Below are 21,966 nucleotides of genomic sequence, written 5' to 3' on the forward strand. Positions count from 1 at the left end.
ACACAAGCCACTGGAAAAAAAAACTGGAATTAGCTATCAAGAACGTTAAAGAAATGCACATGCCTTTAACATACATTTATTCTAAGACTCTAAAGAAAAGTAAACCTGTAATGTGAACTAAGTGGAGTATCATGAAATCATAAAACAATTCTTGAAAAGTACAATGAGGAGAAATGGCTTTAAGTGAAAAAAGCTTACAGCACTGTACAATTTTTACATGAAGTCAATTATCTAAACGAAAATAAAACCAAACTCGGCTCAGAAATAAAGGAAATTCTAAAACATTAACAAAAGTCATTTTATCCACTATACCGGAAAAAGTGTGAGGAAAATGAACACACTTTTTCACTACAATAAACATTGAACTTGCCAAGTGAAGTCTACAAAACTGAGGTACCCAAAAAATGTTATTTTGTACTGTCAATTTTGAGAAAACCACAACACAAAAAGGTAACTTACATCTTTCATGGAATGTGTTCTTTCTAAAGTGTTCTTTGAACGTCTTGCGCTATTAAACAGCAAAAAAACACAAGAGTTAGGAAATAGTTAAAATAACTGAGGAAACACCATAGTTATGACCCTTTCCGCGCATTTTTACCAAAAAAAAAAACAAGAACCCATATTCCACAAATTTATTTTTTATAGGTCAAATCCTATCACCAATGTATAAAATAACATACCTCTCCCCCTCAGGGACATGGAAAAGTTGGAATCCTGCTGTTAACTTTTTCCCTGAGGCCTTAATCAATCAGCAGTGATTGACTTTCTCTGCACAGCTGAACAAAGGGGAGGTAGGCTAACGCTAAGCCCCGACACCTGCTCCATCCGGTGCCTGGCTCTCCTACGTCCTTTTCTCATTTAATTCTAACAGTCCTATAAGGTAGAAGTGAATCCCATGTTACAGATGTGTGCTTGCCCACAGCAACACGGAGCCAGGAGGGAGACAAGCCTGCATTAAAATTTACATCAGTTCAAATCCAGGGCCTGCCCTCGACCTCCCTTGACACTCTCTCAGTTGGACCACAGCTTCAAATGATAAAGTTGTATATATATCTTCAACAAGCTTCAAGAAAACAAATGTAACAATGGTGACAAGAATAAAAACGGGAAATAACAGTGGCAGGATTATATATCATTATTACTAATAATAGTGCCAGCAGTCAGTGAATATGTACAGACTATCCTCCACCAACCAGGCATCGTACAAGGGTACGGGGGGGATACTCCAGGAGAATACAGTACATAATTAGACTTTAAAATATGCCATGCAGATTGCAGCCATATTTTTCTCATTTGTAGACAGCAAAATCAGCTTAGTCTAAACCAATGTTTTAGTATCCTTTTATCTGATATAATTTCAAGCTCACAGAAAAGTTGCAAACATAGCACAAGGACCTTCTGTATGCCCTTTACTCATGTGCTCTGTGTGTGTGTGTGTGTGTGTGTGTGTCTGGAGATACTGTGCACTTCCACCCCTAAATACTACAATATGTCTTTCCTAAGAGGGCATTATACTGCATATTCATGGTACAATTTCTAAAATCAAGAAATTTAACACTGATACCATAATCTAATCTACAGTCCATACCCAAATCACATCAATTGTCCTATAATGTCTTTTAAGATTGCCAGGCCAGCATTTTTAAAAAAACAAACAATAAAAAAGGAAAATATAAAATGAAGCATTGCACTGGATATACTATGTTCACAAGCCTTTTGTTTTATGTGTGGATGTGTGCACACGTGTACTAAGTGTGATGTAAAACATCATTACTGTGAATCACAGTTAAAAAAAAAAAGTTAGAAAACTGTTCAGAGCGGTGGTTCCCAGACTTGAGTGTCATCAAAATTCTCAAGAGGGCTTGTTGAACAGGTTGCTTGGCACCACCCCAGGAGTGTCTGATTCAGTCCCTCTGGGGTGAGGTCTGGGATTCTGCATTTCTAACAAGTTCACGATTTATTTATTTAATTCATGAAACCTAAGGAAGCAGGTAAGACAAGTATTGGTTTTATGGCAATTTTATAGATGATGATTCCGGGATTCAGAAAATTTAAGTGACTTATCAAGGGTCACATAGCCAGGTAACAGAAACCCAGCTACACACTAGACCACATAAACTTCTTAACCTAAACTCTTTGAGCTGTCTTGTCCTTTCTTGGGGGGGAAAAAAAGTCAAGGTTCCTCCTTGCCTTACGCTGGAGTCAAGGTGGGGCTTCTGAGAGACAGAAACCTCTGTGACAACCCACAGGTAAAATTTCTGGGCCAGGCGCGGTGGCTCATGCCTGTAATCTCAGCGCTTTGGGAACCCCAGGAGGGCGGATCACGAGGTGAGGAAATCAAGACCATCCTGGCCAACATGGTGAAACCCCGTCTTTACTAAAAATACAAAAATTAGCTGGACGTGGGGGCGAGCGCCTGTAATCCCAGCTCCTCTGGAGTCTGAGGCAGGAAAATCGCTTGAACCTGGGAGGCGGAGATTGCGCCACTGCACTCCAGCCTGGGCCACAGAGTGAGACTCCGTCTCAAAAAAAAAAAAAAAAAAAAATTCTGTTGTATGTGCGTAAGTGTGTTTTGGGAGGAGGCATGAACAGATTTCATGAGTCTCAAACCCAAAAATGTTAAAAGATAAAAATAAAAAAAGACAACAAAAACCACTAGCCTTTCAGATAAACTCTTTTCAGCTGACATTGAAGGCTGACATTCTCTTCTAATCCTTTTTTGCACTGGGGGAGTCTTCATTCTCCTCCACTGGCCACAGAAGTCTGGTCTCGGTTTCCCCACCCACCTGCGGTGTCCTGCTCCAGCTTTTCCACCCTAACCCCGCATCTACCAGCACCTCCTCCTCCAGGCAGCCTTCCCAGGCCCGGGGGAACTCCTGTTCTCTTCAGATCGTCTTGGCGTATGGCTTTGTGCACCGTCTGCAGCAAGCCGAGACCCTTCCCGCCAGATCCAGGCCGGGCCTTGGATGGCCATTCGCCAACGAATCAGCGACCAGCATTCTAGAGCGCGTTTTGCAACCGACCAAACGCTCGCTTTCTTTGGTAAACAAAAACCGCTCGAGCCATCCTGGAGAACCGCAAGCGGCAGCTCGGTCCCCCAGCCGGATTTATGCTCCAGTTTACGGTCTGTGGTTTGCAGTAAGAAAACACCAGGGTCTTCAAAATAAGAAAACTGATTCCCAGTCAGAGAATAAAACTCCACTAACAAAGTCTGGCAAACCGCAGGCAATACGTATTTGCTGAATATTTTGCTTTCAAGCTAGCACTTTGAGACTCACTACTTTGGACGGCACTCCCCCTCCCCACAAAACGACACGACACTGGCTGACGTCTCTCCCACCCGCCAGGCAGTGTTAGGCCCCGACAGGCCCGTGCAGGTGGGATCACTGTTATCCCCACTAGACTGAGGAGGAAGCCGGGGACCCGGGCGATTGGCCACTCGGGCGACCTCCACAGTGGAGCACCAACAGCGCCGGGAGGCGCAAACCACGGCAGGCGAGGAAGCAGTTCAAGCTGGTCTCCGGCCCCGCGCTCCCGAGGGTCGGCAGTACTTACCCCTCAGACCTGTGAGGCCGCGGCCGCCGCCGCCCCCGCGGGGCCATGGTGCCGCTCTCCGCTCTCGAGCGACTGGAAGCTCCCGCCAAGCCCCTCGCCGCTCCGAACAGCCAATCCGGGCCGAGCACGCGCGCGTGCGCAGGACTTCCTGAGCGGCCCCCGGGCTCCTCCCTGGCCTGGAGCGTGAGGGAAAACTGGGTCTGGTTATTACAGCGCAACGGAGCTGGAGTCCATGCCGCACAACCAGTTACCTACGGTCCAAAACATGCCAAAGTTTTCCGGGCTTTCGCGCCCACCCGCATCGCCAGTTTTCCGGCGCCAGAAAGCCCGGGAGCCACGTGGGACGGCCCCTTGTGGGGTGGGGAAAGGGGAGGAGCTAGTGTCCCTGAGTCGTGGGCAGGTAAGAGGGTGGGTGGAGACCCGTGTTCGCAGCTGTTGTCGCTGAGGCCGCAGTCGTCTTTCCAGGCCTACAGGATTTGGCTTCCAGCCCCTGCTGCCTTTATCAGCTGTCTGAGCTTAGCATGTTACTTTACCGCTATCCCAATACCTTCATTTGTAAATGGACAGGGTTCCTTTTGTTCTTTTATTTTGTTTGTGTTTAAAAATGTGTAATGCAGAAGAATGTAATTGAACCCTTACCTTACACCGCGTATAAAAATTAACGCAAAATGAATCAAAGACCTAACTATAAAGGCTAAAATTAAAACTCTTAGAAGAAAACAGAGCAAAAACTTCATAACATTGGACTTGGTATGATTTCTTGGATATGATACCAAAAGCAGTTTGGGATGATGAAAACGTTCTGGAAATAGTGGTGGATGGATGCACAAGGTGAAGGTACTTAATGCCACAATACTGTAAAGTTAAAAACGGTTAAAATGCTAAATTTTGTTATGTATATTTTACTACGACAAAAATATTACGTTTCATGCATATGAAAGAATATAACGTGTAATGTAAAGATAAAAACAAACATCCGTGTAACCAGCACTACATGGGGATATGGATCATTTTTATATATAACTCTTGGGTACCCCTCTGAATGGTATCCTCCTCCTCCAAAGAATAACCACTCTTCTGATTTTATGTGTATCATTCCTGTGGTTTTCTACCTTGATATAGCCCCAAATAATGTATTGATTATTGTATGTTTCTAAACTTTATATGATATTTGGTAGGTATGCTGCAAGTGCCCTTTCTTACTAAAGCTATTGCTTTTATTTTTTATTTATTTTATTTTTCCATAAATTATTGGGGTGCAGGTGCTATTTGGTTACATGAGTAAGTTCTTTTTTTTTTTTTTTTTTTTTTTTTGAGTTGGAGTTTTGCTCTGTCGACCAGGCTGGAGTGCAGTGGCCTGATTTTGGCTCACTGCAAGCTCTGCCTCCCGGGTTCATGCCATTCTCCTGCCTCAACCTCCGAAGTAGCTGGGACTACAGGGGCCCGCCACCACGCCCGGCTAATTTTTTTGTATTTTTAGTAGAGACGGGGTTTCACCGTGTTAGTCAGGAAGGTCTCGATCTCCTGACCTCGTGATCTGCCCACCTCAGCCTCCCAAAGTGCTGGGATGACAGGCGTGAGCCACGGCGCCCGGCCTATTTATATTTTTTATTTTAATTTCTTTTTTTTTTTTCAAGATGGAGTCTTGCTCTGTCACCCAGGCTGGAGTGCAATGGCACAATCTTGGTGGGGGGGACTATCTTTTCTGGAATTTTAGGATCCCTCCTCAGACAAGCAGGCCTAACAAAAGCTATTCCTGAAGGTATGCTATGAGGAGCCTCAGAAATTGTATCCTTCCTATTCATGTAAGTGAAGATAAAAGGTGTCACTCTTCCAGCCTTGGACATCCCTTCCCTCCCTCAGGGTATGGCCCTCCACTTCATTTTTGGGGCATAACATCTTTATAGGACAGGGATAAAGTCCCAATACTAACAGGAGAATGCTTAGGACCCTTAACAGTTTTTCGAGAATGTGTTGGTAAGGGCCACTAAATCCGACCTTCCTTGGTCCTCCATGTGGTCTGGGAGGAAAACTAGTGTTTCTGCTGCTGCGTCGGTGAGTGCAACTATTCCGATCAGCAGGGTCCAGGGACCATTGTGGGTTCTTGGGCAGGGGGACAAGCAAAACAAACCAAAACCGCGGGTGGTTTTGTCTTTCAGATGGGAAACACTCAGGCATCAACAGGCTCACCCTTGAAATGCATCCTAAGCCGTTGGCACCAATTTGACCCATAAACCCTGTAAAAGAGGTGGTCTGCCCTGCAGCTTGGCACCAATATTCTCTCTCTGATGGGGAAAAATGGCCACCTGAGGGAAGTACAAATTATAATAGTATCCTGCAGCTTGACCTTTTCTGTAAGAGGGAAGGCAAATGGAGTGAAATACCTTATGTCCGAGCTTTCTTTTCATTGAGGGAAAATACACAACTATGCAAAGCTTACAATTTACATCCCACAAGAGGACCTCTCAGCTTACTCCCATATCCTAGCCTCCCTATAGCTCCCCTTCCTATTAATGATAATCCTCTCTAATCTCCCCTATCCAGAAGGAAATAAGCAAAGAAATCTCCAAAGGACCACAAAAACCCCCAGGTTATCGGCTATGTCCCCTTCAAGCTGTAGGGGGAGGGGAATTTGGCCCAACCCGGGTACATGTCCCCTTCTCCTTCTCTGACTTAAAGCAGATCAAGGCAGACCTGGGGAAGTTTTCAGATGATCCTGATAGGTACACAGATGTCCTACAGGGTCTAGGGCAAACCTTCGACCTCGCTTGGAGAGATGTCATGCTACTGTTAGATCAAACCCTGGCCTTTAATGAAAAGAATGCGGCTTTAGCTGCAGCCTGAGAGTTTGGAGATACCTGGTATCTTAGTCAAGTAAATGATAGAATGACAGCCGAAGAAAGGGACAAATTCCCTACCAGTCAGCAAGCCATCCCCAGTATGGATCCCCACTGGGACCTTGACTCAGATCATGGGGACTGGAGTTGTAAACATCTGTTGACCTGTGTTTTAGAAGGACTAAGGAGAATTAGAAAAATGCCCATGAATTATTCAATGATGTCCACCATAACTCAGGGAAAGGAAGAAAATCCTTCCGCCTTCCTTGAGTGGCTATGGGAGGCCTTATGAAAATACACTCCCATGTCACCCGAATCACTCGAGGGTCAATTGATTCTAAAAGATAAGTTTATTACCCAATCAGTTGCAGATATCAGGAGAAAGCTCCAAAAGCAAGCCCTGGGCCCTGAACAAAATCTAGAGGCATTATTAAACCTGGAAACCTCGGTGTTCTATAATAGGGACCAAGAGGAACAGGCCCAAAAGGAAAAGCGAGATCAGAGAAAGGCTGCAGCCTTAGTCATGGCCCTCAGACAAACAAACCTTGGTGGTTCAGAGAGGACAGAAAATGGAGCAGGCCAATCACCTGGTAGGGCTTGTTATCAGTGTGGTTTACTAGGACACTTTAAAAAAGATTGTCCAATGAGAAATAAGCTGCCCCCTCGTCCATGTCTGCTATGCCGAGGCAATCACTGGAAGGTGCACTGCCCCAGAGGACGAAGGTTCCCTGGGTCAGAAGCCCCTAACCAGATGATCCAACAACAGGACTAAGGGTGCCCAGGGCAAGCACCAGCACATGTCATCACCCTCACTGAGCCATGGGTACGTTTAACTATTGAGGGCCAGGAAATTGACTTCCTCCTGGACACTGGCGCCGCCTTCTCAGTGTTAATCTCCTGTCCTGGACGACTGTCCTCAAGGTCTGTTACCATCCAAGGAATCCTGGGACAGCCTGTAACCAGGTATTTCTCCCACCTCTTCAGTTGTAATTGGGAGACTTTGCTCTTTTCACATGCCTTTCTTGTTATGCCTGAAAGTCCCACACCCTTATTAGGGAGGGATATATTAGCCAAGGCTGGAGCTATTATCTACATGAATATGGGGAAAAAGTTACCCATTTGTTGTCCCCTACTTGAGGAGAGAATCAACCCTGAAGTCTGGGCATTGGAAGGACAATTTGGAAGGGCAAAAAAATGCCCGCCTAGCCCAAATCAGGTTAAAAGATCCCACCACTTTTCCTTAACAAAGGCAATATCCCTTAAGGCCTGAAGCTAATAAAAGATTACAGAATATTGTTAAATATTTAAAAGCTCAAGGTTTAGTAAGGAAATGCAGCAGTCCCTGCAACACCCCAATTCTAGGAGTATAAAAACTGAATGGTCAGTGGAGACTAGTGCAAGATCTTAGACTCATCAATGAGGCAGTAATTCCTCTATATCCAGTTGTACCCAACCCCTATACTGTGCTCTCTCAAATACCAGAGGAAGCAGAATGGTTCACGGTTCTGGAGCTCAAGGATGCCTGCTTCTGTATTCCCCTGCACTCTGACTCCCAGTTTCTCTTTGCCTTTGAGGATCCCACAGACCACACGTCCCGACTTACATGGACAGTCTTGCCCCAAGGGTTTGGGGATAGACCTCATCTGTTTGGTCAGGCACTGGCCCAAGATCTATGCCACTTCTCAAGTCCAGGCACTCTGGTCCTTCAGTATGTGGATGATTTACTTTTGGCTACCAGTTCGGAAGCCTCATGCCAGCAGGCTACTCTAGAGCTCTTGAAATTTCTAGCTAATCAAGGGTACAAGGTGTCTAGGTCAAAGGCCCAGCCTTGCCTACAACAGGTCAAGTATCTAGGCCTAATCTTAGCCAGAGGGACCAGGGCCCTCAGCAAGGAACGAATACAGCCTATACTGGCTTATCCTCACCTTAAGACATTAAAACAGTTGCAGGGGTTCCTTGGAATCACCGGCTTTTGCTGACTATGGATCCCCGGATACAGTGAGATAGCCAGGCCCCTCTATACTCTAATTAAGGAGACCCAGAGGGCAAATACTCATCTAGTAGAATGGGAACCAGAGGCAGAAACAGCCTTCAAAACCCTAAAGCAGGCCCTAGTACAAGCTCCAGCTTTAAGCCTTCCCACAGGACAAAACTTCTCTTTATATGTCACAGAGATAGCTGGGATAGCTCTTGGAGTCCATACTCAGACTCGTGGGACAACCCCACAACCAGTGGCATACCTAAGTAAGGAATTGATGTAGTAGCAAAAGGCTGGCCTCACTGTTTAAGGGTAGTTACAGCAGTGGCCATCTTAGTGTCAGAGGCTATCAAAATAACACCAGGAAAGGATCTCGCTGTCTGGACTACTCATGATGTAAATGGCATACTAGGTGCCAAAGGAAGTTTATGGCTATCAGACAACCGCCTACTTAGATACCAGGCGCTACTCCTTGAGGGACCGGTGCTTCAAATACGCACGTGCGTGGCCCTCAACCCTGCTACTTTTCTCCCAGAGGATGGGGAACCAATCGAGCATGACTGCCAACAAATTATAGTCCAGACTTATGCCACCTGAGATGCTCTCTTAGAAGTCCCCTTAGCTAATCCTGACCTTAACCTACATACCGATGGAAGTTCATTTGTGGAGAATGGGATACGAAAGGCAGGTTACACCATAGTGATGTAACCATACTTGAAAGTAAGCCTCTTCCCCCAGGGACGAGTTCCCAGTTAGTAGAACTAGTGGCCCTTACCCGAGCCTTAGAACTGGGAAAAGAAAAAAGAATAAATGTGTATACAGATAGCAAGTATGCTTATCTAATCCTACATGCCCATGCTGCAATATGGAAAGAAAGGGAGTTCCTAACCTCTGGGGAACCCCCACTAAATACCACAAGGAAATTATAGAGTTATTGCATGCAGTGCAGGAACCCAAGGAGGTGGCAGTCTTACACTGCCAAAGCCATCAAAAAGGGGAAGAAGAGGGGAGAACAGCAGCATAAGCAGCTGGCAGAGGCAGGGAAAGACCAGTAGAAAGGAAAGAGACAGAAAGTCAGAGAGAGAGGAAGAAAAAGAGAGACAAAGAGAAGGAGTCAAAGGAAAGAGAGAAAGAGACAGGAAGTCAGAGAGAGAGAGAGGAAGAAACAGAGACAAAACAGGAAAGAGAGGAAGAGACAAAGGGGGAGTCAGAGAGAAAGAGAGAGACAAAGAAGAAGTCAGAGAAAGAGAGAGATAGAAATAGTAAAGAAAAAACATAGTACCCTATTCCTTTAAAAGTCAGGGTAAAGTTCTGTCTACCCAGCCAAGGCATATTCTTCCTATGTGGAACATCGACCTACATCTGCTTCCCCACTAACTGGACCAGCACCTGCATCTTAGTCTTTCTAAGTCCCAACATTAACATTGCCCAGGAAATCAGATTCTATCAATACCCCTCAAAGTTCAAGTCCATCAGTGCAGAGCCATACAACTAATACCCCTACTTATAGGGTTAGGAATGGCTACTGCTACAGGAACTGGAATAGCTGGTTTATCTACTTCAGTGTCCTACTACCACACACTCTCAAAGGATTTCTCAGACAGTTTGCAAGAAATAACGGATCTGTTCTTACTCTACAATCCCAAATAGACTCTTTGGCAGCACAGACTCTCCAAAACCGCTGAGGCCTAGACCTCCTCACTGCTGAGAAAGGAGGACTCTGCATCTTCTTAGGGGAAGAGTGTTGTTTTTACACTAACCAGTCAGGGATAGTACGAGATGCCGCCCGGCGTTTACAGGAAAAGGCTTCTGAAATCAGGCAATGCTTTTCAAATTCTTATACCAACCTCTGGAGTTGGGCAATGTGGCTTCTCCCCTTTCAAGGTCCCGTGGCAGCCATCTTGCTGTTACTCACGTTCGGGCTCTGTATTTTTAACCTCCTTGTCAAATTTGTTTCCTCTAGAATTGAGGCCGTCAAGCTACAGATGGTCTTACAAATGGAACCCCAAATGAGTTCAACTAACAACTTCTACCGAGGACCCCTGGACCAGTCCACTGGCACTTTTACTGGCCTAGAGAGCTCCCCTCTGGAGGACACTACAACTGCAGGGCCCCTTCATCACCCCTATCCAGCAGGAAGTAGCTAGAGTGGTCATCGGCCAAATTCCCAACATCAGTTGGGGTGTCCTGTTTAGAGTGGGGATTGAGAGGTGACAGCGTGCCGGCAGCCCTTGCTCACTCTCAGTGCCTCCTCAGCCTCAGCGCCCACTCTGGCCATGCTTGAGGAGCCCTTCAGCCCGCCGCTGCACTATGGGAGCCCCTCTCTGGGCTGGCCAAAGTCGAAGCCGGCTCCCTCTGCTGGCAGGGAGATGTGGAGGGAGAGGCGCAGGCAGGAACTGGGGCTGTGCGGCGCTCGCGGGCCAGTGTGTGTTCCGGGTGGGCGTAGGCTCGGTGGGCTCCACACTCAGGAGTGGCCGGCTGGTGACACCAGCCCCGGGCAGTGAGGGGCTTAGCACCCGGGCCAGCAGCTGTGGAGGGTGCACCGGGCCCCCCAGCAGTGCCGGCCTGCCAGCACTGCCCTTGAATTCTCATCGGGCCTCAGCTGCCTCCCCGCAGGGCAGGGCTCGGGACCTGCAGCCCGCCATGCCCAAGCCTCCCCCCGACCGTGGGCTCCTGTGCGGCTAAGCCTCCCCGACAAGCATCACCCCCTGCTCTGTGGCGCCCAGTCCCATCGACCACCCAAGGGCTGAGGAGTGCGGGCACATGGCGCGGGACTGGCAGGCAGCTCCGCCTGCAGCCCTGGTGTGGGATCCACTAGGTGAAGCCAGCTGGGCTCCTGAGTCTAGTGGGGACTTGGAGAACCTTTATGTCTAGCTAAGGGATTGTAGATACACCAATCAGCACTCTGTGTCTAGCTCAAGGTTTGTAAATGCACCCATCAGCACTCTGTGTCTAGCTCAGGTTTGTGAATGCACCAATCAGCACTCTGTATCTGGCTCATCTGGTGGGGACTTGCAGAACCTTTATGTCTAGCTAAGGGATTGTAGATACACCAATCAACACTCTATGTCTAGCTCAAGGTTTGTAAATACACCAATCAGCACCCTGTGTCCAGCTCAAGGTTTGTAAATGCACCAATTAGTGCTCTGTGTCTAGCTAATCTAGTGGGGACTTGGAGAATCTTTACGTCTAGCTAAGGGATTGTAAATACACCAGTCAGCACTCTGTGTCTAGCTCAAGGTTTGTAAATACACCAATCAGCACCCTGTGTCTAGCTCAAGGTTTATAAATGCACCTATCAGTGCTCTGTGTCTAACTAATCTAGTGGGGACTTGGAGAACTTTTGTGTCTAGCTCAGGGATTGTAAACGCACTAATCAGCACGCTGTCAAAATGGACCAATCAGCGCTCTGTAAAATGCACCAATCAGTAGGATGTGGGTGGGGCCAGATAAAGGATTAAAAGCAGGCTGCCAGAACAGCAGTGGCAACATGCTTGGGTCCCTTTCAACACTGTGGAAGCTTTGTTCTTTCGCTCTTTTCAATAAATCTTGCTGCTGCTCACTCTTTGGGTCCACACTGCCTTTATGAGCTGTAACACTCACCACGAATGTCTGCAGCTTCACTTCTGAGCCAGCGAGACCACGAGCCCACCAGAAGGAAGAAACTCCAAACACATCCAAACATCAGAAGGAACAAACTCCAGACATGCCTCCTTTAAGAACTGTAACACTCAGTTACAGTTACAGTGGCTTCATCCTTGAAGTCAGTGAGACCAAGAACCCACCAATTCCAGACACACTGGGAGCCTGGTCCAGAGCTTGAAACCCGGCAGCCATTCCATGTCTGTCTGAATTCTACCATTCAGGGAAAGAGACTCCGTATCTCCCAGCCTTCCCAGAAAAAGGGCTGCCACACCTACCTGTATTTGGGCTCTCCAGAAAAGCAGAACCAATGTACATATGGGGACAGCGGGCAGAGATTTTAAGAACTGGCTCATGCAAATGTGGAGGCTGGCAAGTCTGCAATCTCTAGGAACAGGCCCACAGGCTGGAAATTCAGGTAAGAGTTGACGTTGCCATCAGGAGTCCAAAATCCACAAAGCAGGCCCAACAGCCTGGAAACTCAGGCAGAGTGTCTGTGTTGCAGGATTGAGGAGAATTCCTTCTTCAGGAAACCTCAGTCTTAAGGCCTTCAACAGATTGCGTGAGGCCCACCTACATTATGGAGGGTAATGTGCTTCAGTGAAAGCCTACTGATTTAAATAGTAATCACACCTAAAAAATGCCTTCCTGGCAATACCTAGACTGGTGTTTGACCAAACAACTGGGCATCATGGCATAGCCAAGTTGACACCTAACATTTACCATCACACTGTCCCTGAACCAATCCCTGTGGCCAGGGAAATGGAATACACTCATTAGCTTCCTAGGACCACTTGATTCCCGCTGGAACTGGAGTGGCGAGTAGGGGGCTATAAATTGGGAAAGGGGGAAATGCATGCTGGGGAAACAGATAAATCCGTGACAGAAACTCACCCAGGGTTGTAGAGCTATTCATAGGGAAGCTAGATTCCAACCCACTCCTGCCTTTGTTCCATGCTGCTTCCGCAGTTAGACTGTCAGCTTAGAGCAATGATTCTCAGCTTGGGTGAGGGGAGGGCAGAGGGAAGAGGGAAAGGGGTCTACCAGGATGCCTGGGGCGGGGTAACCTGATAAAGCCAGTGGATGCTATCACAGGAAGGAGACTCCCGGGGTGCTCTGGGCAGAGGTTGTGTGAGAGCCCTACCTATGATTCTGACCCAGAAGGGCCATCTCAGAGTTTCTGTAGTGATTTGTGTTGTTGAGGATGGAAACCACAGCATCTCTGCGCGCTTGTAGATATGGAAAGCCAGGTGGGGAGCCTGGTTTGGGTGGCAGGAAGAGAACACAAAGGCTCATTATAAGCCCTTGATAAAAATGTGGGGGCTGGAGGCTGGCCATAGGGGAGAAGGGTCTGTAGAGGGGAGAGGAGGTGCCCAGCAGATTCCAACCAATCAGAAAAGAAACTCCCCATGCCCAGCAGATTCCAACCAATCAGAAAAGAAACTCCCCGCAAGGAGAACAATAGGTTACTTTTTAGGGAAGCCATGGCCAGTGTTTTCCATTTTAAGATGGTGCCTGTGTTGTGCTGGTCTCTTTCCACCAGTTAACCGTTAGTAAAGTTTGCTAAACTCCACAGCCTTGTGTGTCTAAGGGGCGGTGAGGAAGGAAGGATCCTTACAGTAGGTAGTCAGGCAGACGTGAGCAGGGCAGGAGAGGGCCCCTACAACCAGGAAAGTCAGGCAGCCATCAGGGGATGGTCAGGCGGCTGTTAAACTGTTTATTTTAGACCAATAATAATCGGTCACAGCCAGCACGAGGGAAAGGCAATTTCCCAATAGAAAATATCTGAAGCTGGTGATTAGCAGCTTCCGGATAAGATCTCAGGATTTGGGTGAGTGAGCTCAAGCATACACAGTAAGAGGCAAAATGATGGTGTTTAATTGGTAGATGGGAGAACGCCTCAACTGCGCATGTGCACAACTTCAGTAAACACGTTGCGTTTATGGCTCCTCCCACGTGCTGGCAGGCCACTGCGCATCAGGACAGCCCACCCCAAGGGAACAATCCAGGGAGAGGTAACACCGCTCCCTCCCTCAAAGCATGCTAACGTATAAGACCCCAAGTCAAAGGCCACACAGCACTTGAATCTCTCATGTCCCCGCTTGGCCCTCTTCCAAGTGTACTTTACTTCCTTTTGTTCCTGCTCTAAAACTTTTTTTTTTTTTTTTTTTTTTTTTTTTTTTGAGACGGAGTCTCGCTCTGTCGCCCAGGCTGGAGTGCAGTGGCGCGATCTCGGCTCACTGCAAGCTCCGCCTCCCGGGTTCACGCCATTCTCCTGCCTCAGCCTCCCGAGTAGCTGGGACTACAGGCGCCCGCTACCACGCCCGGCTAATTTTTTGTATTTTTAGTAGAGACGGGGTTTCACCGTGTTAGCCAGGATGGTCTCGATCTCCTGACCTCGTGATCCGCCCGCCTCTGCCTCCCAAAGTGCTGGGATTACAGGCGTGAGCCACCGCGCCCGGCCTAAAACTTTTAAATAAACTTTCACTCGGCTCTAAAAGTTGCCTCTGTCTCTCGCTCTGCCTTATGCCCCTTGGTCAAATTCTTTCCTCTGAGGAAGCAAGAACTGAGGTTGCTGCAGACCTGTGTGGATTCGCTGCCATTAACGAGATAGTGTTCAGGGTGGGGTGAAGCATGCTTGTTGGAAGGGATGGGCTGAAAACGCAGGAGTGGAGGCAGCGGGGTCAGGAGTCCTAAAGGTGACCTGGAGCAATGTGAGCAACTGCAAGGAACGTCAGGGACACCAGAGGACCAGAGGCTTCAGGACACTGGAGGACACCTAGGTGGTGGGTCCTTAAGTTATATGCTTTCATATTTGGGAAATGGAAAAAAAAAACTATTGCTTTGATTATACCAACTATAGAAAATAATGACAAAACTTTAGGGAGGCTTGGGATAAACTGAGTGCTTGGGCCTGGACACTTCCATGTGGAACTATATCTTCCCTGTGATGGAGGTTGATGTATATATGAATTCCATGTTTTGGAATTGTTAGTTTGATTTTGATTGATTGATTGGACTGAGACAAGGTCTCTGTTGTTCAGGCTGGAGTGCTGTGATGACTTCATAGCTCACTACAGTCTCAAATTCCTGGGCTCAAGCGATCCTCCTGCCTCAGTCTCCCGAGTAGCTGGGATTACAGGCACATGCCACCAGGCCTGGCTAATTTTTGTATTTTTCACAGAGAGGGTTTTGCCGTGTTGTCCAGGCTGGTCTCAAACTCCTGGGCTCGAGAACCACCCACCCTGGCCTCCCAAAGTGCTGGGATGACAGGTGTCCGCCACCGCGCCTGGCCTCATTAGCTTGATTTTAAGTGAGAATATTATTTGGTATCTTACAGGATTCTCATGAAGATAAGAGAAGAATGTAGAGGCCCCTCGATACACAGAAGGGGTGCCATTTCTTATTGGACTCAAGCTTTTCTCCAGGGAGCTTTTCTGTTGAATTTTCTTTTCAGCACTGGGTCCACCAGGGGGCAGATGAAGAAAGGGCCTGGAGATTCGACGATGTCATTGGAGCACAGAGCGCCTCACTTTCAGACGTTGTAAATACTGCTTCAAAGTCAGTTCAAGAAGATGAATAAGGCTAGACATTTTAGTTGCCCTTGCTTAACCCTTTTCCTCTTTCACATAAATGATATTCTTCCACAATTTATCCAGTCCATTCCTGTCAATTTCCCATAAGGCAGAGTATGATTCTCTATGACGGAGAGGAAAAGAACTGATGTCTCAAATTTTCCCACTTTCTTATATAACTTCCTACAGCAGTTACTAATTACTGAGTACACAGGAATATCTCACTCAACTTGGCAGTTTAATGAAGTTATCTGTTTTAAGCAGACCCGTTGTTCAACCTCTGTAACTATAACACTACAAAACAGACTTAACACATCCCAGGAGGGCAGGCATGGGGGAGCAGAGGAGGATCATTTCTTTTGGATGTTCCCTTTAAGAAAAAGAGGAAATAAAATCCAGAAAGGAAGTACTCCTCGCCTTTTACAGTTAGAGGGCAGAAAGATTTTTTGTAGCAAACAACGACATTAGATCTCTTCTTATGTCACATGCTTTTCAACATTTCCTGGGTGCTGTTACCCGGCTGCTAAACTTATTTGCTGTGTAACTAATGTTGTTTTAGTTTTTCCAGACCTAACTGGCACTGCTCCTACCCAAGCTGCAATCACATGGCTAAACAGGTCTGGTCAGTACATCATGACCATGCAATGTCTCATGCTTCAGATTCCATTCTCAGCTCCCCAAAGGGTCAGGAGAGTCTGGTGCTGGGATCCTGGCAGGAGCATGCTAGCAAAATTCAGGATTTCTTTAGCCAAGGAATGGCAGACTTCCAACCTGCATAAGCAGTAATTTTATAACTGAAACAGATGTAAAAAACCGAGTGCATAACCTGAGAAAGAGAAAATGGAAGGACATCCCAGAGAAAAGGTGTTTTTTTTTTTAAGGAAATAAGGACAGAAAAATAAGAAGTAAAATGTCTACAGCAGAGTCTTGTGTCTGTAACTCTCCCTCAAGCTGTGGTTGGAAAAGAACTTTCTTAAAAAGGTTTTCACAGCTCTGTAATGAACTTGCTCACTCTGACAGCACTTTTGGTTGACCTGAGAATACACACAGCTGTGAGGCTGACCTTGTTTGGCCAGTGTCCTGACCTCAGGAGCCCTTACTGCTCAGGCAGGAATGGACTCAGCAGATGGCACCTGGCAGAGGCACCTCCCAGGTGACGCAGCAACTTTCTTCATAGAACCTGCTGTAGAACGAAACCTCTGGCTGCTGCCCTGCACCTTATAGGCCAGCTCTCTCACCCCTTATCACTGAGCATAAAGATCATTCTCACCCAGGCCACAAACATGCTCTTTGTTTCCAGGGCTTAGAGAATCAGGGAAGGCTTCTAAGCAAAGTGCCATCTCCAATCCTGTAGGAGCAGCCAGGCCAGGGTGAGAGTGCTCTGGGGAGGGAGGCCAGCCTGTCCAAAGGCTTTGCAGTGAGCAAAAGCAGGATGCACTTTGGGAGCTGGAATAACTGAGGCATGGCTGGAACAGAGTTGGGGAAGTGTCAAGAAATGAGGCCAGGGAGGCAAGCAGGGGCCCTTCAGTTCCCTACTCCTCAAAGTGTAGCACAAAGACCGGCAGCACTGGTGTTCCCAGGAAGCTTGTTAGAAATGCAGAATTGCAGATTTAGTGAATCAGAATCTTCATGTTAAGATCCCCAGGTGGCTGGGCAAGGTGGCTCATGCCTGTAACCCTAGCACTTTAGGGGGCTGAGGCTGGAGACTCACTTGAGCTCAGGAGTTTGAGACCAGCCTGGGCAACGTGGTGAGAAACAAAAAAACCAACAAATTAGCCAGGTTTGGTGGTGCACGCCTGTGGACCCAGCTACTTGGGAGGCTGAGGCAGGAGAATCCTTAAGCCTGGGAGGTCAAGGCTGCAGTGAACTGTGATCATACCACATACTCCAGCCTAGGCAACAGAGCAAGACCCTGTCTGAAAAAAAAAAACAAAAAAATTCTGAGGTGACTAGATGCACAATCAATTTCGAGAAGCCCCCCCCTCTCACTCCATTAAGCAGTTCAGACTAGGGAACAATAGGAAGCCTCTGGACAATGAAGCAGGAGAATCACATGGTAAGACTTGTGATTTAGAAAAATCTTGCTTGCTGCAGAATGGGTAAAGTAGCAGGGACCAATATAGGCAGCAAGGGGGCCAACTAAGAGGCTGGTGCAATGGTCCTGGCAAGACGTGGCCTCCGCCCTAAGGAGTGGGAATGGAGCATGGTGAGAGGTGGCCAGATTCGGTAGCCAATAGGAGACAGCAGCAACAGGAACTGGTGGCTGAGGCTGCCTGGAGCAGCCCTGGAACTTCTCCCAAATGTGTGGCCCACTGACAGCTGGGCCCGGGTGAGGCCCAGGCGCTGGCAGCAGCACAGCAGGGTGGGGAATGCAATATCAGTGGGTGTGGGACTCCAAAACCAGAGTCCTTCTGTGTCTGCACACGTCGCCTGGTGCAGAATGTGAGCAAACTGGTTTTCACGTATGCTCAGTGTGTGTCCCATTCACTGCACGGTGCTTCGCTGTCCCTGCAGCTGGGCTCTGGGGTTGGTACTTCTGTTGCTCACTCTCCAATTGGAACAAGCCACATGCAAAGCAGGAGGCCTGCCTGGAGTTCTTGGGGAGAAACACTGCAGCGTTAGTTAGTATCCAGCAAGGACAATTTCGGCCAGAGAAATCTGACAGTCAAACCCACTCCCCTTAGCCGATAAAAGTCTCAATAAAAAAGTGACTAAGAACTTATATGCAAAATATGTTTATGAAAAAGAAATCCTGTTGTAGGCCAAGAACAGAATCCCTCTGCACCTGAAGAACACTGCTTAGAAGCAAAATTCCTTTAGCAAGACTTCTACCTTTGAAGCAAGTCAACCAAGCAAAGGAGTTCACTGAGTCCAAAGGAAAACTCTAGATCGCTGTTTATGCCAAATACATGAATAATAAGATGGGAAAATTTCCCTAATTACTCTTGCTGAGTAAAGAAGTGAGTTTAATCTGAACCAACACATAGCGAGGCATCTACTGCAGGGTACAGTGGTGAAGAGTCAGCCAGGGCAGGGCACTGGGTCGGGGGTCCCTTTGGCAGGCTCCAGACTAAGCTGGAGTGGAGGTTTCTCAGCACTGGGCACCAACACCGCTCTGCTGACAAGAGTTGGAAGGATTGTCTCTATGCTGGGAGCCTAAGGAGAGTTCCCTCCAGTCAGATTCTGGGCTGCAAAACCATTTTCATAATAAAAGAAGAGGGGGCTGGAGGCTGAGGAAGGGGAGGGATGCTGTGGGCCTGACCAGTCGAACTGACCCATGGCCCTTGCCTGTTCTGGCCCTACTGGGACCTTCTGCTCTTTATCGACCTGTTGTGCACCGATGGGGGTCAGTGGCAGGTTTCTCTTCTGCCTAAGCTGCTGTGAAATGAAACAGCAACTGGAAATATGAAAACATAAAAAGGAACTTCCAGAGTCCCTGGCATTTATCTTCCTTCACCTTATGGCATGACTAACATAGAACTGCAAACAGGTATAATTAAAGTGGAAAGTTACCTGCACCTGATTGGCTGCTTAAGAGAACTTACTCAACAATGATTGGGCACTCAGGGTGCTCAAGGCATTGGGCTTTGCATCAGAGGGGAAGCAACAGCAAAAAGGTGATCCAGGCGCTCAGAGGCCTTGGAGTCAGAAAATCCAGCTCAGCCACTTACTAGCCATCTGAACTTGGACAAAATAGCTGATCCCTCCAAGTCGTTTCTCATCCGTAACAAGGAGGTAATACTTAAACAAACAAACAAAAACAAAAAACAGAAGTACCGGCCAGGCGCGGTGGCTCATGCCTGTAATCCCAGCACTTTGGGAGGCTGAGGCGGGCAGATCACAAGGTCAGGAGTACGAGACCAGCCTGGCCAATATGGTGAAACCCCATCTCTACTAAAAATACAAAAATTAGCCGGGCGTGGTGGTGGAAGCCTGTAGTCCCAGCTATTCAGGAGGCTGAGGAAGGAGAATCGCTTGAACCTGGGAGGTGGAGGGTGCAGTGAGCCGAGATCGGGCCACTGCACCCCAGCCTGGGCGGCAGAGCGAGACTCTGTCTCAAAGAAAACAAACAAACAAACAAAAAAAGACACAGAAATATTCAGATAGCTCCCTAATCTTTCCACCCCAATCACCATGGGTCTACCTGACATCTAACCCACATTGCCAAGTCTTCTCTTGTTGTAATGGAAGAGTCCCTATCAATGGCCAGTCTCGCCACTATCGTTCAGTTCTAACCCTCCCCACCTCTCGAGCTAGCCCTTGCCTAAATCATTCTCTTTCTTTGCTGGATCACTCCCACCAGCATGTCATTCTACTCCAGTATCTCCCATCTTAGAAACCACCACTACCTGCAAGCAAAAGCGAACCTCTCAACCCCACATCTCTCTGCAGTTATCCATTCATGTCCACTTTCTTCACAGCAAAATAGAGCTATTTACCCTTTGTCCTGACCTCCTGGGAGTTCATTCCTCAATGTGCTCCAGCAGGCTCTGTCCTCCCTATTCTGCTGGAGCAGTTACTGGCAGGGTCACCACCACTGCTGAATGCAGTGGACTATCCCCACATTATTCTACCTTAAAAAAAAAATTCTCCAGACAGAGGTCTTGCTATGGTTGCCCAGGCTGGCCTCAAACTCCCGGCCTCAAGCAATCCTCCCGCCTCGGCCTCTCAAAGTGTTGGGATTATAGGCATGAGCCACCGTGCCTGGCAACTTTTAACAGCATATGCTTTTAACAGCATATGCCTTAACCTGTGCCCCGTAAGCCCTTCCTGCAGTGCCTTTCTGCCTTGGCTGCAGGGACACTGCACTCTTGGTTTTTGCTCGTTCCTGCAAGGCAGGTAATTCTCAATCACCCTTGCAGGCTCCTTCTTTAACCCACTTGTCAGAGGGCCCCAGGACTCTGTCTTGGGTCCTCCTCTACTGCATTTCCTTTCTACACAGCTTCCCCAGGTTACCTGATAAGGTCCCACAGCTCTAAATCCCTTCTCTAGCTGATGGCTTTCTGAACTGTTCTCTCCAGCTGGAGCTGTCTCCTGAGTCAGAGCCGCAGACTGGTGTGTTATCTTCAAGTGGTGGTCTGACAGGAACGTCAAGGGAAAACTTCCAGTCCAAGCTCTTGATTCCCTCCTCCTAAACACATGCCTCGGCATCTTCCCCGCCTCAGTAAGCACAGCCCCACCATCTACCCCAGTATGCTCATACCCCAAGCCCTCTCTGCTCCTGGTTCCTCCCATGCAGTGGTTCTACCTCCAAACTGCTTTCAAATAAATTCCTTCTCCAGCCACTGCCACTTACTTGGCTCAAGCTGCCCTCGCACACTATACTATCTCCACCTGTCTCTGTGCCTCTCCTCTTATCCCTCAGCAGCTGTTCCCAAAAGGGGAATTCAAGGAATGTCACTCCTTGCCCCAAACCCTTTCCTCCTGACCCCAGTGGAAAACTGAGATTCCGTCTAGGGCGGCAGGGCCTGGTAACCTGCCCCCGCATCACCAACTTCTTTCCAGTCCACTCTTTCCCTTGTTCATGATGCTTTAGACACATCGGCTTCCTTTCAGTTCCTTGAATAGATCGAGCTCTTTCCCACCCCAGGGCCTTGCACCCACTACTTCTTTTGTTGGAAAACGTTTCCTCCAGAGCTTTGCAAGGCTTTCTGTTCATTCTTCGGCTTATCACCCCAAATATCACTTCCTCAAAGAGACCTTTTTCTGACCACAACACTTAAAAATGGGCACTGTCAATACAACTGCTTTCTTCAAAGCATCCATCACAATCTGCAGTATTCGTTTGTTTTCTTGTCAATTGCCTCCTTCTCTCTATTAGGAAGTAAGCCTCCCAAGGGCAAGGATCTCGTCTGCCACACTCACTGCTGCACCTCCACAGCATACAGTAGCACCTGGCACTTAGTTGACGGTAAATACATCATTATGGACCGGCCACTCGTCTAACAGGGGTTTTGTGAGAATTAAATGAGAGCATAAAGAGCACAGCATAGCATACTGCCCGTTAGCAAATCCACAATACCTATAGCTATTACTATCGCCATGCTTGGTGATTCGTGGATGTTCTGGGGAATCACATGAACCTGCGTATCTGTGACTCATGCATATGTTCCTCCTAATACAGAGTATCTGTTTTGTTTTTTTGAGACATGTTGTTGTTCCGTCACCCAGGCTGGAGTGCAGTGGCAGATCATAGCTCACCGTACCCTTGACCACCTGGACTCAAGGAATCCACCCACCTCAGCCTCCCAAGTAGCTGGGACTACAGGTGAATGCCACCATGCCTGGCTAATTGTTTTATTTTCTGTAGAGATGAGGTCTCACTGTATTGCCCAGCCTGGTCTCAAATTCCTGAGCTCAAGCAATCCTCCTGCCTCGG

General features: G+C 47.8%; 1 protein-coding gene across 6 annotated transcripts in view, besides 5 other annotated features; it reads right to left on the bottom strand.

Annotated features, from left to right (window-relative positions):
- The window catches only part of CENPU (centromere protein U), a 40,012-nt gene extending 36,376 nt beyond the window's left edge, over positions 1 to 3,636 (bottom strand). For 3 of the 6 annotated variants that reach the window (XR_007057963.1, XM_005263218.5, XM_047416163.1), the window contains exons 1-2: positions 2,838 to 3,636; positions 460 to 508 (exon numbers count right to left, since the gene is read on the bottom strand). Coding sequence is in view for 4 of the 6 variants with exons in the window: in XM_005263218.5 (XP_005263275.2) it covers positions 460 to 508; positions 2,838 to 2,974 (186 nt within the window). In the remaining 2 variants the exon portion in view is untranslated. Of the gene's footprint in view, positions 1 to 459; positions 509 to 2,786 lie in introns of all 6 variants that reach the window. The other 3 variants (NR_104593.2, NM_024629.4, XM_047416162.1) reach the window with 2 other exon arrangements.
- Positions 3,076 to 3,942: an enhancer, noted in NCBI's record as "H3K27ac hESC enhancer chr4:185654690-185655556 (GRCh37/hg19 assembly coordinates)". NCBI's record gives its function as "activates a minimal SCP1, AML or CMV promoter by ChIP-STARR-seq in primed H9 embryonic stem cells {active_cell/tissue: H9 hESC(primed)}" and the evidence as "EXISTENCE:reporter gene assay evidence [ECO:0000049][PMID:30033119]".
- Positions 3,093 to 3,212: an enhancer, noted in NCBI's record as "active region_22232". NCBI's record gives its function as "activates an Ori minimal core promoter by ATAC-STARR-seq in GM12878 lymphoblastoid cells {active_cell/tissue: GM12878}" and the evidence as "EXISTENCE:reporter gene assay evidence [ECO:0000049][PMID:35858748]".
- Positions 3,583 to 3,642: a silencer, noted in NCBI's record as "silent region_15843". NCBI's record gives its function as "represses an Ori minimal core promoter by ATAC-STARR-seq in GM12878 lymphoblastoid cells {active_cell/tissue: GM12878}" and the evidence as "EXISTENCE:reporter gene assay evidence [ECO:0000049][PMID:35858748]".
- Positions 5,450 to 5,969: an enhancer, noted in NCBI's record as "NANOG hESC enhancer chr4:185657064-185657583 (GRCh37/hg19 assembly coordinates)". NCBI's record gives its function as "activates a minimal SCP1, AML or CMV promoter by ChIP-STARR-seq in naive H9 embryonic stem cells {active_cell/tissue: H9 hESC(naive)}" and the evidence as "EXISTENCE:reporter gene assay evidence [ECO:0000049][PMID:30033119]".
- Positions 16,883 to 17,384: an enhancer, noted in NCBI's record as "H3K4me1 hESC enhancer chr4:185668497-185668998 (GRCh37/hg19 assembly coordinates)". NCBI's record gives its function as "activates a minimal SCP1, AML or CMV promoter by ChIP-STARR-seq in naive H9 embryonic stem cells {active_cell/tissue: H9 hESC(naive)}" and the evidence as "EXISTENCE:reporter gene assay evidence [ECO:0000049][PMID:30033119]".

Source organism: Homo sapiens, chromosome 4 (assembly GCF_000001405.40).
Source record: "Homo sapiens chromosome 4, GRCh38.p14 Primary Assembly".
NCBI lineage: Eukaryota > Metazoa > Chordata > Mammalia > Primates > Hominidae > Homo > Homo sapiens.